The sequence below is a fragment of the Homo sapiens genome, chromosome 4 (genome assembly GCF_000001405.40).
Source record: "Homo sapiens chromosome 4, GRCh38.p14 Primary Assembly".
Lineage (NCBI taxonomy): Eukaryota > Metazoa > Chordata > Mammalia > Primates > Hominidae > Homo > Homo sapiens.
The window spans coordinates 165,346,860-165,361,829 of record NC_000004.12 but is presented as its reverse complement, the minus strand read 5'-3'; the positions used below and the strand labels follow the sequence as shown (position 1 = coordinate 165,361,829).

The window sequence follows — 14,970 nt, the reverse complement described above, 5'->3', positions numbered from 1 at the left end:
AAATGACACAGATGTTCACAGCAGTACACTAATCTTTTATTATAATCTATAATCATATCTTCTTGGATGATATGATTTCCAAACTTGTGACCCTCTCTCCTCCCCCTGCCAAAAAAAAAAAAAAAAAAAACCCACCCTGTTTTCCTCCCAGTCTTTCTTATCTCAGAAATAGCCTCAATATTTGTTAAATGAAATTCATTTGCAATCTTGACCTTTCCCTTTCCCACATCCCACATCAGCAATCTCTATCAATTCTATCTTCATGTTATACATGGAACCCACCCACTCCTCACCACTGCCTTGGCCACTACCCTAAACTAAGCCACCAACTAACTTCTCTCACATGGACCATTTCAGTCACTTCCTAACTGGTCTTCCTGCCTCTGCATCTGCCCACTTAGAATTTGTTACTCAAACAGCGAGCCATTTTCAAAATGTAAATCAGATTGTATAACTTCCCTGCTTAAAAGTTTCCAGCAGCTTTCCAACGTACTTGGGATACGTTCCCAGCTTCTTACCATGGCTTTCACAGTCCTACCGGATCTGTCTCCTGGCTACTTCTCCCTCTCCTTGAGTACAACTGGACTCTCTCAGGCTTTCTTGTGAAGTAGGCGCTCCAGGTACTATTTATCATATCTTCTTGTTTATTTCCTTCATTGCATCATCACAAAATGATGTTGTTTCTTTACTTGCGTTGCTTTCTTTTCCCGATGGAAGGTGACCTATCACCAGAGCCTAGTCTATAAAAGAGATTCAATAAATATTTGTTGAAAGAATGAATAATTCATATGTCCTAACATTTTCATTTAAATCCTCAAGAACTATATGCCAAAGGTTCTAATTTAAACTTTAAACATTTCAAGGAAAGAACCCATCTACCTCTAAAAGAATGTAATTCCTCATAACCTTACTAATAGCTAATGTCTTTAAACCAGACTCTGTGCTAGTCATCGGCTTTAATCTTCCACCTACTTACCATATGCTACAAATAAGAAAAATAGAGTTTAGAAACATTAAATAACCTGTGCAAGTTCATATAAATAGGAAATAGTGAAGACAGGGTGGCAGGAAAACAGCATTATTTCCATGGTGTACTGGAGGGCTTTCCATTCATTCATTCAACAAACTTTTATTTAGGACCTAGTAAATGCCACGGGCTCGGCTTTTACTGAGTAAGATGTGGTCAGAAAGGAATATGAAATTGATTAAGTTGTAGTTCCTACCAGGGAAGTATTCAGACCTCCCTCTCCAGGCTGAAGAAACAAGATTGCCTCATCCAGTGATAAGCACATTCCCTGTCTAGAACCAATCATCATGCAGAGGAGAGTTTATTTCAATTGGGATTTAGCAGAAGTGAGGGCTGGGAAAAACATATGCTTTTAAGAAGTGATTTTTGGAGTATTTTGAACACTCTGAAAACAATACACAGCAGGTCCTTGAATTATGTCATTTTGTTCCAACATTGATGAGAAAGAAAAATGATTTCCAGCTGGAGCCAGCCAACATCTGTGGAGAGTTTGCACGTTCTCCCTGTGTCTACGTGGGTTTTCTCTTGGTAGTCCGGTTTCCTCCCACATCCCAGAGATGTGCATGTTGATTTGATTGATGTGTCTACATTGTCCCGGTCTGAGCCAGTGTGGGTGTGTGTATGAGTGTGCCCTGCCATGGAATGGCATCCTGGCCAGTGGGTTCCCACATTATGTCCTGAGCTGCTGGGACAGCCTCCAGCCACCTATGACCCTGAAGTGAAATAAGCAAGTAAATAATCTTACTTTTTAAAATTAATCTTTCCTAAATGTACATATAGCTCACAATTTTTTCCGTGTTTAATATTAGAAGTGTTTGGGGTCTTTATTTAGAAGCTCGTGGTGGTTTTATGACCAGAAGTATGCTGTAGGAACTTAACTCTTGTTTATATCAATTAGCTTATGGTAAAATTAGTTTCTTTATATGTCATTTTGTTTAAAGTTGCAGTTTCCAAGACCTACTGATGACATTAAATGAGGACTAATTGTATAATGAATGTTCAATAACTAGATTGGTTAAATAATTAATGAATTGACAGATTCAGAACACACCACACCCCAGCTCCTTGGGACACTTATGGCAGGAAGTGTTACCAAACACAATGAGTCATTAATACTGTGTGGTTGGGTAAAAAAATTAGGTTCGGCTGCCACATTGCTTAAAATTGTTTAATAAAGGATTCTTCCAAGCTTCAATTTTTTTAACTTGTTCTTTCTGTTTCCTTGCCTCGGCAAACCAATATTTTGGCTCCTTGAGTTTTCTTATATTTTATTTACTACTTGCAGAAACCCTAACAACCCCACCACCATCCCTACTTGAACTTGGTTTTAGCTCTTCCTGGGAACTAGCTTCTTATCTCCTTAGCTTGTTCAGGCTGACTCCCAATACCTATGCTAGTTCATTAGCGATTTAATAAATCCACTCCTAGGTATCTACCACTAACCCATGCTTGTCCAGACAGCCAACAAGTGCTGTGCCAAAAGCACCATCAAAATAAATGGCACAGGCGAGGCACAGTGGCTCACGCCTGTAATCCCAACACTTCGGGAGGCCGAGGTGGGTGGATCACTTGAGGCCAGGAGTTCGAGGCTAGCCTGGTCAACATGGTGAAACCCCATCTATACCAAAAAATAGAAAAATTAGCCAGGCGTGGTGGTGTGCACCTCTAGCTACTCGGGAGGCTGAGGCACAAGAATCGCTTGAACCCAGGAGGTGGAGGTTGCAGTGACCCGAGATTGCACCACTGCACTCCAGCCTGGGCGACAGAGAGAGACCCTGTCTCAATAAATAAGTAAATAAACAAATAAATGGCACAAATGGTGCCTTGAACTGATAGGATTATGCAGGAGAGGAAATAGAGGACAGGTGAGGGTTAGTCACACAGGTTTGCTGATGGAAACAAGCCACAAAGCTCTATGGTCTTCCTTCCACTTCTCTTGCTTCTTGTGCACAGCATTGCAGCAGGGCAGCCTCCCTTGTCTAAAAAGCTTCAGAAACAAACTCCAAAGCACATAATGACCTAGCTTTGCACATTTCTCCAACTTGTCCCGCCATCTCTGCATCCTCTCCAATCATACAATCTTCTTTCAGTATCTGGTTTATTCTATTCTCTGTCTTGCCAGCAGATCTTAGCATATTTTGTTGCCTTTACTTGAATCACTCTTCCCCTCTGTCCCCCTTCATTTCTGGTTAGCTTTTAGTTGTCCTTCTGGTCTCATGGTACACATTATTTCCTCTGGGAGCTTTGTCCTAACAGCTTCCATTAAGCAAAAAAGATACTGTTGCTATGTGATCTCAGAGTTCCTTAAGCCTCTCTCACGTTTCAGAGGTTTTTAATAATTACTTATTTCATTGTCCATAATCTCCCCTGTACTATAAATTGTGCGAGGGCTGGAATCTTGTCTCTCAAGGCCCCTAGTGTACCCTAGCACCTAGCAGCATTTGACACATAATGGAAAACTAAGTAAATATTATTGATTGAATGAATGAATACATAAATTCTTAGAGATCAAGCTATGCTCCTCAGTTGACATCTGATATGCTGCTATTTAAGTCGAACCTCAACAATTCAAAAATAACTTGCTCAAAATCTACACTCATTAAGCTGCAACTCCTTCCATAATTGCGGGAAACAGTTGATGGTTGTGGCTTAATGCAGGTATGAGAGCAATGTTGCTGGGCTTGATGAAGAACCCATCACCACTACCTACTCCTGCCAGTTTATATGGAGATACAGGTTGTAACCAAAGAAACCTGGAATGCAACAGTACTGACTTCGAAGTCCTGAGTAGATGAATTAGACTTGGTTTATTGCAACTAAACTAAATTTAAATGGCTTAAATAAGAAGGGAAGGGAAGGGAAGGGAAGGGAAGGGAAGGGAAGGGAAGGGAAGGGAAGGGAAGGGAAGGGAAGGCAATGCCTGTAATCCCAGCTACTCGGGAGGCTGAGGCAGAAGAATCACTTGAAACCAAGAGGCAGAGGTTGCAGTGAGCCAAGACCACGCCACTGCACTCCAGCCTGGGTGACAGAGCAAGACTCTCTTTCAAAAAAGGGAAGGGAAGAAGGAGAGAGGCAGGGAGGGAGGGAGGGAGGGAAGGAGATTCACTATTTCAGTAAGACCAAGAAAATGCTTCATGACTTATTTCTAATTGGCTCCTTGTTTCTGAAGGACAACCACTTTCCCCTAACACCCGGTGGCCAGGATTAGATGTTAATCACTGCTGATTTCTTAGTCTGGGACTCTTCAGTAAAGAATGAAAGCTGTAAAGCAGGCATGCTGCCCTATTAAAAAGGAATTTTCTCAATAGCCAGTTCTCAGAATACTGTTGCCATCCTGTTGCTCATCCCCACTGCCCTGAACTAGCACATTCGAGAATAATTCTTAGTCTTCATAGTCTTGTCTGAGGAACGCTTTCTAATATGTGAGTTTTGTGCAGAACCCAGGGATGGCTAGAGAAAACCCTTGATTAAATGGTAAAAATAGACCGGAGATGGTGGCTCAAGCCTGTAATCCCAGAGCTTTGGGAGGCAGAGGCAGGCAGATCACTTGATGTCAGGAATTCGAGATCAGCCTGGCCAATGTGGGGAAACCCTGTCTCTACTAAAAATACAGAAATTATCTGGGTATGGTGGCACATGCTGTAATCCCAGCTACTCAGGAGGCTGAGGCAGAAGAATCACTTGAACCCAAGAGGCAGAGGTTGTAGTGAGCCAAGACCACACCACTGGACTCCAGCCTGGGTGACAGAGTGACACTCTCTCAAAAAAAAAAAAAAAAAAAAAAGGTAAAAATAAACTGGAATAGAATGAAAAAACAAAACCATGAAAAGATCATTCATTTGGGTAACCTAAATTGTCTGGGGGGAAAAGTCAGCTGAACCACTTAGTCCCGGGTTATTTATGCTTTCCATCCAGCACAGCACTCCTCACAGCAGGAAAATCACTCTTGTTTTTGAGGTGTTATAACAGATGTTACATGATAAGAGATTATTCATTTGAATGAAAATCAGAAAAAACTGATAAAATAGCTGATAAAAATCATTTTAATGTAAAATTCCCAAATTGAAAAAATGTAAAAGTTTTTGTTCTTAACACAACCATTAAAAGTTGTATACTGTGAACTAATGGATATTTTAAGTTTAAACATATATTTGGTAGTTATATCAAATTATTTTTATATATTGCATATATCTACCCATCACATTTTACAGGAAAAAAATTGGCAAACCTGTAATAATCAGTGTGTGCATGGGAAAATAATAGTTTCCAGTGAAAAAGATCTGCACTGGTTCTCAGATTTTCCATATTCTTGGGTCCAACTGGCTGGCAGTCTATTTTTAAAATACTAATTAAGTAATTCAGAAAATTAAGCATCATTTGCTTTTTTAAAAATTTGTTGGTTTTTTGTTGCTGTTGTTTCTGATATGAGTTGGGCACTCTGCTGTTTGGTGTGTTTTTCTTTATGGCTGTGTTTCATTCTTAAAAGTTTGCAAGAGGAGCATCATTATTCCCATTTTATGTACAAGGAAACAGAGATTCACTTGAGTGACGTGTCTAAGGGCACACAAGTAAGTCACACAGTAAATGGCAGAGTTTGACTCCACACTGAGGTCTAAGTAGTTCCTGTGCTCAGTCTTCGGGCCTCACAGCTTCAAGCAAAATACTGCCACCAGCTGGTGAGTGAACTATTGCCAAATGCTGAATTTGCTCTCCAGTGGTCTCAGCTCACAGCCCCCTTAAAAAAAAAAAATAGTCTGTCTGTCACAGGAAGGAGATTCAAACTCTGAGTAGATAACTAAACTAAATGACTTTTAAGGTCATTGAGGACACAGAATTATTATGCAATGTCTTTGCCTGTCTCAGAAAATCACATTGCCTTCCAGATAAGTGTTCAAGCTAAGAAGAGATAGAAAAAAAAATCTTCCTTCTGTATTACAGTCTTAGAGAATGGGATGAGCTATTTGTAAGTAAGCATTATTCTAGCATCTCTGATCTTACAATTAAGGAAATCATGTCCATATTGTTTGTTATAGGCTGAATCGTGTCTCCCAAAACGATGTTGAAGTCCTAACTCCAACCCCCACTCTCTGTGAATGTGATCTTATTTGGAAAAGGGACCTTTGCAAATGATCGAGTTAAGATGAGGTAATACGGGTGGGTCAATATGACTGTTGTTTTTATGAAAATGGGAAATCAGGACACAAAGAAAGATAGACATAGAGAGAATACGGTGTGAACATGAAGGCAGAGACCGGGGTAATGCATCTACAAGCCAAGAAATGCAAAAGGCATGCCAGCAAACTATTAGAAGCTAAGAGGGGCCGGGCGCAGTGGCTCATGCCTGTAATCCCAACCCTTTGGGAGGCCAAGGTGGGTGAATCACCTGAAGTCAGGAGTTTGAGACCAGCCTGGCCATCATGATGTAACCCCATCTCTCCTAAAACTATAAAAATTAGCTGGGCATGGTGGCAGGCGCCTGTAATCCCAGCTACTCAGGAGGCTGAGGCAGGAGAATCACTTGAAACCAGGAGGCAGAGATTTCAGTGAACGGAGATCATGCCATTGCACTCCAGCCTGGGCAACAAGAGCAAAACTCTTTCTCAAAAAAAAAAAAAAAAAAAGGAATGGAAAAAGAAATATAGAAGCTAGGAGGGAGGCATGAAAAAGATTTTCCCTCAGAGACTTGAGAAGGAGCTAACCCTGCTGACACCTTGATCTCACTTTTGGCTTCCAGAACTGTGAGACGATACATTTCTCTTGTTTAAGCCATCCAGGTTGTTGCTTATTGTTATGGCAGCCCTAACAAACTAATACACTGCTAACTGTTTGCCTTTTTGTTTTTTAAACAGCTTTATTGAGGAATAATTCATGTACCATGCAATTTGCCCTTTTAAAGTATACAATTCAATGTCTTTTAGTATATTCATAGGGCCATGCCACCATCACCACAATCTAATTTTAGAACATGTTTAGCTCCCCTAAAAGAAACCTGCTAGTGGATAAGCAGTCAGTCCCTATTCTTCCCTCCTAAGCCCCAACCCCCAGCCCTAAGCAACCGCAAATCCACTTTCTGTGCCTATAAATTTATCTCTTTTGAATAATTTATATAAATGGTATCATATATATAATATATGGTCTTTTGTGACTGACTTCTTTCTCATAGTATATTCAAGGGTCATTCGTGCTGTAGCATGAATCAGTACTGTATTCATTTTATGGCTGAATGACATGCCATTGTATGAGTATTCCATATTTTTTAATTCATTCATTAGTTCAAGGGTTCCCAATCCCCGGGCTGTGGACCAGTACCCATCATGGCCTGTTAGGAACCAGGTCACACAGCAGGAGGTGAGTGGTGGGTGAGTGAGCATTACCACCTGCGCTGCACCTCCTGTCAGATCAGTGGTGGCATTAGAGTCTCACAGGAGCGCAAACCCTACTGTGAACTGCACATGCAAGGGATCTAGGTTGTGTGCTCCTTATGAAAATCTAATGTCTGATGATCTGAGGTGGAACAGTTTCATCCCAAAACCACCAACCCCCACCCCGTCTGTGAAAAAATTGTCTGCCATGAAACCGGTCCCTGGGGCCAAAAAGATTGGGGACCACTGGATTAGATGATAGACATTTGGAGTGTTTCCTCTTGTTGCTATTATGAATAATGCTACTATGAACATTCATGTACAATTTTTGTGTTCACATACATTTTCATTTCTCTTGGGTATATACCTAGGAGTGGAATTGCTGGGTCCTATGGTAACTCTATGTTTAATATTTTGATGAACCGCCAAACTCATTTCAAAGCAGCTGCACCATCTAACATTCCCGCCAGCAACATAGAAAGGTTCCAACTTCCCCACATCCTTTCCAACACTTGCTATTGCTTATCTTTTATATTACAGCCATTATCATGGGTGTGAAGTAACATCTCATTGTGGTTTGGGCTTGTGTTTCCCTAAAGAGTAATGATGTTGAGCAACTTTTAATGTACATATTGGCTGTTGGCTGTTTGTATATTTTCTTTTTTTTTTTGAGATGGAGTCTCGCTCTGTTGCCCAGGCTGGAGTGCAGTGGCACAATCTTGGCTTACTGCAATCTCCACCTCCTGGGTTCAAGCAATTCTCCTGCCTCAGCCTCCTGAGTAGCTGGGACTACAGGTGCCTGCCACCACACCCAGCTAACTTTTTGTATTTTTAGTAGAGATGGGGTTTCACCATATTGGCCAGGCTGGTCTCGATCTCCTGACCTTGTGATCCACCTGCCTCAGCCTCCCAAAGTTCTGGGATTATAGGCGTGAGCCACTGTGCCTGGCTGGCTGTTTGTATATTTTCTTTGGAGAAATGTCTATTCAAATCTTTTTTTTTTTTTAAGTTTTACTTTAAGCTCTGAGATACATGTGCAGAATGTGCAGGTTTGTTACATAAGTATATATGCGCCATGGTGGTTTGCTGCACCTATCAACCCATCATCTAGGTTTTAAGCACCGCATGCATTAGGTCTTTGTCCTAATGCTCTCCCTCCCCTTGTTCCCCAACCCCCCAACAGGCCCCAGTGTGTGATGTTCCCCTCTCTGTGTCCATGTTTTCTCATTCTTCAGCTCCCACTTATGAGTGAGAGCATGTGGTGTTTGGTTTTCTGTTCCTGTGTTAGTTTGCTGAGAATTGGGTTATCTCTTGTTGTTATTATTGAGTTTGAGTTCTTTATATATTATGGACACAAATTCTTTATCAGATATAGGATGTGCAAATATTTTCTCCCATTCTGTGTATTGTCTTCAGTTTCTTGATGGTATCATTTGCAGCACAAAATTCTTCACATAGTCCATTGTATTCATCATTTTATTTTGTTGCTTGTATTTTTGGGGTCATAAATAAGGGATCATTGCTAATCCAAGGCAACTCCTTCACTTCCTTCTAAGAGGGTTATCAATTTTGCTTTTACATTTAGTGCTATCATCTGAGTTACTTTTTTGTGTATGGAGTGAGGTAGATCTATAATGTCATCCTTTTGCATGTAGATGTCCAGTTGTTCCTTCACTATTTGTTGAAAATACTGTTCTTTACTCCTTAAATTATCTTGGAACACTGTTAAAATCTATTGCCATCACTATCAGGGTTTACATCTGAAGTTCAAACCTACGCCATTTTTATATGTCTACCCTTATGCCAAAACCACGCTGTCTGCTTACTGTAACTTTGTAGTAAGTTTTGAAATTGGGAAATATGAGTCTTCTAAATTGTTCTTCTTTTTCAAGATTGTTTTGACTATTTTGAGTCTACTGAATTTCCATATATATTTTAAGGTTGGCTTGTAATTTGCTACAAAAAGGCAGCTTGGATTTTGATAGAGATTGCATTGAATTTGCAGATAAATTTGGGAAGTATTGTCATCTTCACAATATTAAGTTTTCTCATCCATAAAAATGTCTTTGCATTTACTTAGATCTGCTTTAATTTCTTTCAACAATATTTGTAGTTTTCATTGTGTAAGACTTTCACTTTCTCTGTTAAATGTATATCAAAAGTATTTTATTGAGTAATAAGAATGTATTAAGATGGTGAATAGGAAGCAGGACTAGCTTGCAGCTCCCGCTTGGATGGACAGAGCAGCCTGTGGAGACGCACATCATGAACTTCTGCTCTGAGAAATACCGCAGGAACATACCTGGAAAGCTGAGAATCCACAGACCCTTTGAAAGAACTGGATCACTGCTGCAGGCTCCCTGAGATGCCGAAAAACTGTAAGTCTGCTTGCTTTATCAACAGAGAGGCTCGTGGTCTGGGGCAAGTTCTCAGCCCTGGTCATCAGCTGCCTGAAAATAGATTTGGTGCTGTTGGGGGGACACAGTGGGAGTGAGATCAGCCTTTAGGACTGTGGGCTGAGTGGGAGTGGGGTGATGCCTGTGACTGCCAGCTGTCCCCCATTTCCCTGCTGAGTCCTGTATGACTCAGCAGAGGCAGCCATAATCCCCCTGGGAATATAACTCCACTGGACTGGGAACCACATCCCCATCCCCCACAGCAGCCACAGCAAGACCTGCCCAAAGAGAGGATGAGCTCAGACACACCTATCCCTACCCCCACTTAGTGGTCTTTCTCTACCCACCCTGGTAGCCAAAGACAAAGGTCATTATCTCTTGGGAGCTCTATGGCCCTGTCCACCACCTGAGAAACCTGAATACTTAAACAGGTGTCCCTAGGGCAAGTTCGTATCCTCCCTATAGGACCACAGCTGATGAGTTCTTGAAAGCGCCACCTCCTGGCTGGAGGCCAACCAACACAAAACCAGCACACTAAACAAAAACACAAGCAAGGACTTTCAACAGAGTCCACTTCACTCCCCTGCTACCTCAACCAGAGCAGGTGCTGGTATCCACGGCTGAAAGACCTGAAGACCAGTCACATCATAGGACTCTGCAGATGCTCCCCAGTACCAGCCCAGAGCCCGGTAGCTCCACTGGGTGGAGGTCACAAACAGTCACCACAGTTCAGCTCTCAGGAAGCTCCATTCCAAGGGGAAGGGGGAGAACACCACATCAAGGGAGCATACTGTGGGACAAAAGAATCTGAACAGCAGCCCTTGAATCTCGGATCCTCCCTCTGACATAGTTTACCCAAATAAGGAATCAGAAAAACAATTCTGGTAATATGACAAAACAAGGGTCTTCCACACCCCCAAAAGATCATACCAGCTCACCAGCAATGGATCCAATCCAAGATTAAATGTCTGAATTGCCAGAAAAGGAATTCAGACGGTCGATTATTAAGCCAATCAAGGAGGCACAAGAGAAAGGTGAAGTCCAACTTAATGAAATCAAAAACGTGATAAAGGATATGAAAGGAAATTTCTCTAATGAAATAGATAGCATAAATAAAAAACAGTCACAACTTCTGGAAATCAAGAACACATTTAGAGAAATGCAAAATGTACCGGAAAGTCTCAGCAATAGAATCAAACAAGCAGAAGAAAGAACTTCAGAGCTCAAAGACAAGGTTTTTGAATTAACCCAATCTGTCAAAGACAAAAGAATTTTTAAAAATGAACAAAGCTTCCGGCTGGGCATGGTGGCTTACTCCTGTAATCTCAACACTTTGGGAGGCTGACCCAGGCAGATCATCTGAGGTCAGGAGCTTGAGACCAGCCTGACCAACATGATGAAACCTCATCTCTACTAAAAATACAAAAAAAATACAAAAACTAGCCAGTTATGGTGGTGCATGCCTGTAGCCCCAGCTACTCGAGAGGCTGAGGCAGGAGGATCGCTTGAACCCAGGTTGCAGTGAGCTGAGATCATGCCACTGTACTCCAGCCTGGGCAACAGAGCGAGACTCCATCTCAAAAAACAAAACAAAACAAAACCTCCCACCACCAACAACAAAAAAAAACCTTGTAAGCTTTACTTAAAAATGTTTGCAACAATAAACTAAAATATCTACATTAGAACCATGGTAGCTGGAAGTATCATTAGAAATAATCCAGTTCAGGCTAGCTGTGGTGGCTCATCCCTGTAATTCCAACACTTTGGAAGGCCAGGATGGAAGGATAGCTTAAGGCCAGGAGTTTGAGACCAGCTTGAACAACATAGCAATACCACATCTCTAAAAAAAAAAAAAAAAAAAAAAAATTTTTTTTTAAATTAGCTGAGCATCTGAGCATGGTGGCACATGCCAGTAGTCCTAGCTACTCAGGAGACTGAGGCAGGAGGATTGTTTGAGCCCAAGAGTTCAAGGCTGCAGCCACCATGATCATGCCACTACACTCCAGCCTGGAGGACAGAGTGAAACCCTGTCTCAAAAAAGAGATATAATCCAGTTCAAATTCATCCTCATTTCATGATAAGTGCTTGAGGTGATGAATATGCTAATTCCCCTGATTTGATCGTACACATTCTATACAACTATATCATGAAATATCATACTGTACCCCATAAATACATATGATTATTATGTATCAATTAAAATTCATTTTTAGGCCCAGTGCAGTGGCTCATGCCTGTAATCCCTGCACTTTGGGAGGCTGAGGCAAGTAGATCACTTGAGGTCAGGAGTTTGAGACCAGCCTGACCAATATGGTGAAACCATTTCTCCACTTAAAAAATACAATAATTAGCCCTGGGAGTGGTGGTGCACGCCTGTGGTCCTAGCTACTCATGAGCCTGAGGTGGGAGAATCTCTTGAACCTGGGAGGAGGAGGTTGCAGTGAGCCAAGATTGTGCCACTGTACTCTGGGCAACATATCGAGACTCTGTTTCAAAATAAATAAAATAATAAAATAAAATTTATTTTTAGAAATTCATCCTCATTTTAAGGATCTCTTTCGTTATATACTGACTAAGAATCCTATAGTTGCTGCCTAAACCATCAATGAAGGGGAAGATAACTAGCTCTAATTTTAAGAAAGTTCTTCCAAAGTTTGAATTTTTAAACAGCAAACACCTAGAACTTTATTTCCTGATACACTTATGCTTTCTGGGGCAATAATGAATGACTCACCCTCTTTTACATAATATCATTTCAGACATTTGAACACACCTTTGATATTTCTATTTAGTCCTCTTTTCTCTGACCAGTTCTGTCTAATGGAACTTTCTGTAATGATGGAAATGTTCTATAATCTGTACTCAGAGATGTCAATGGCCACATCAGCTCATGACTACTGTACTGGACAGAGCTGCTCTAGACTATCCCTCTGTTTCCTTAAATTATCTTGTGTAATTACTGCTAGACCTTAAGCAATTCCTTGCTGGACACAGTGGCTCATGACTGTAATCCCAGCACATTGGAAGGCTAAAGTGGGTGGATCACTTGAGGCCAGGAGTTCAAGACTTGTCTGGACAACATGGCAAAACCCTGTCTCTACTAAAAATACAAAAATTAGCTGAGTGTGAGGGTGTGTGCCTGTAGTCCCAGCTACTTGGGGGACTGAGATATGAAAATCACTGGAACCCAGGAGGTGGAGGTTGCAGTGAGCTGAGATAACACCGCTGCACTCCAGCCTGAGCAATACAGTGAGACTCTGTCTCAGAAACAAAAACAAACACAAAATAACAACAAAAATCCTGATTACTCTCTTGTCTCCTGTGGATGTTAGTCATATATGATGCACTAAGCATAATATGCTTTTCCACCCGTAACCAACCAAAGCAGAATAAAAGGAGATCACTGTCTTCTCTGTAATTTAGGCTTACCTTTAATAATTTAGCGTACGGTTGTCTTAAGTTGTGGGGAAGTGAGCACTTGTAGTCCACTAAAATCCTTACGGCTCTTGGGTATGTATCGCTGTTAATCCTGGTTATGTTTCCTCTCCTCCATTTGTGCAGCTGAACTTTTAAATCAAGGCAAACATTTTGCAGGATCTTGATTCTGTCCTGTAGAACAAAGTGTCAGTTGCTGTTTTTCTTCTGCCTCAGTATTAAATTTGATAAGCTTGGCAGCAGTGGCCTTATCTAGGTCAATGATAAACATGTTTAACAGGACAAGGCTACAGGCAAAGCCTCAAGTCACAACACTAGAAACTCTCCTTGGTCAAGAGAATTTGGATTCACTTGCTGAACCAGGTAAGACTCTAACTACATTTCTGGTCCAAAGTGGACAATTGACAAAGGAAGTAGTCACGCTCTTGATTGTGTAGTGATCAAATGGATGTAACCATTCATCAAGCTGTGTGCTTTTCTGGTGTGTTTGTATGGTGTGGTTCCATTAAAAATTAAATACCCTGGTATTGTGTAATACTAAAAGCCAGCATTTCAATTTCACTTCAAAACTCTATTACAAAGCCTTTAGGCCACAGGTCCCTTTTCCAACTCTGTAGAGCCACACTTCCCAAGGGGCAGATTTATTCTTTGGAGAAATGGAACAGAAGAGGCTCAAGACTCTCCTGATGCTGAGGAGGCCTTGGGTGAGCTAGGCAGGTGGCAGAAGAGGGATTCTGTGAAAGGGAACCCACTCAACTGTCAGATCCTGTCTCCTCCCACATATGTGATTCCCAGCATGAAGACATATGAGCAGTTTCTGCCCCAGACAGTGATTAGAAGATTTTTTTGAAGAAACTGAACCAAACCCACAGAAAAATACTTAACAAAGTTGGAAAAGATTGACTGGCTGCCTGATCATCTATGGCTTTACAATCACATTTACAAATTCTTTCTGTCACCTGGAATGCAAGTTATCTGACTTTGGAGACTTAAAAGTTTATTTAAGGACAGGCGCGGTGGCTCACACCTGTAATCCCAGGACTTTGGGAGGCCGAGGTGGGTGGATCACGAGGTCAGGAGATCAAGACCATCCTAGCTAACACGATGAAACCCTATCTCCACTAAAAATACAAAAAATTAGCCAGGCATGGTGGCACACACCTGTAGTCCCAGCTACTCGGGAAGCTGAGGCAGAAGAATTGCTTAAGCCCAGGAGGCGGAGGTTGCAGTGAGCCGAGATAGCGCCACTGCACTCCAGCCTGGGTGACAGAGCGAGACTCCATCTCGAAAAAAAAAAAAAAGTTTATTAAAATGTATGAAACACTTTGCTAAAAATTTCCTCCTCTTTGGGATTTGCTTCCCTTTGAACGGGGCTAGTTTGTTTCCTTTTCCAACTTGAAGATCATTTTCCTGTGACATAGAAATGCAAAAATTAGGTAGCTCAGCCTCCCATTCTAATATGTTAATGGTATATTACCTACTCCTGGGCAGTGACCAATTCCTTATTCTTCTACCTCTATACCATCATGATATTTTATTATTATCAGATGAATTATTTTATAGCAAAAAAAATCTCAGAGAACCTTCATGGAATACAAGAGGTCTGATTGAAATCTGCCAACAGACTAAATAGTTCTAAATTTTCTTTATTAGCTGGACACGAACTCAAACGGACATGAACGTGCTCTGATACATAATTTGTTCCTTCAAAGAGCATATCAAGCTGCATATCCCACAAGAACATGACCAG

At 41.3% G+C, this 14,970-nt stretch overlaps 1 long non-coding RNA gene across 1 annotated transcript, besides 1 other annotated feature; it reads right to left on the bottom strand.

Moving 5' to 3' along the window:
- Nucleotides 1–317: 317 nt before the first annotated feature.
- On the bottom strand, nucleotides 318–13,635 carry LOC105377519 (uncharacterized). Its single transcript, XR_939416.2, has 3 exons — nucleotides 13,215–13,635; nucleotides 9,692–9,839; nucleotides 318–740 (listed from the first exon to the last, which is right to left on the bottom strand). It is a non-coding gene; the product is annotated as an uncharacterized LOC105377519 (long non-coding RNA).
- Nucleotides 9,183–10,382: an enhancer, noted in NCBI's record as "BRD4-independent group 4 enhancer chr4:166272600-166273799 (GRCh37/hg19 assembly coordinates)". NCBI's record gives its function as "activates an origin of replication core promoter dependent on BRD2, P300/CBP, MED14 and CDK7 cofactors, and independent of BRD4, by STARR-seq in HCT116 cells {active_cell/tissue: HCT116}" and the evidence as "EXISTENCE:reporter gene assay evidence [ECO:0000049][PMID:35650434]".
- Nucleotides 13,636–14,970: the final 1,335 nt, after the last annotated feature.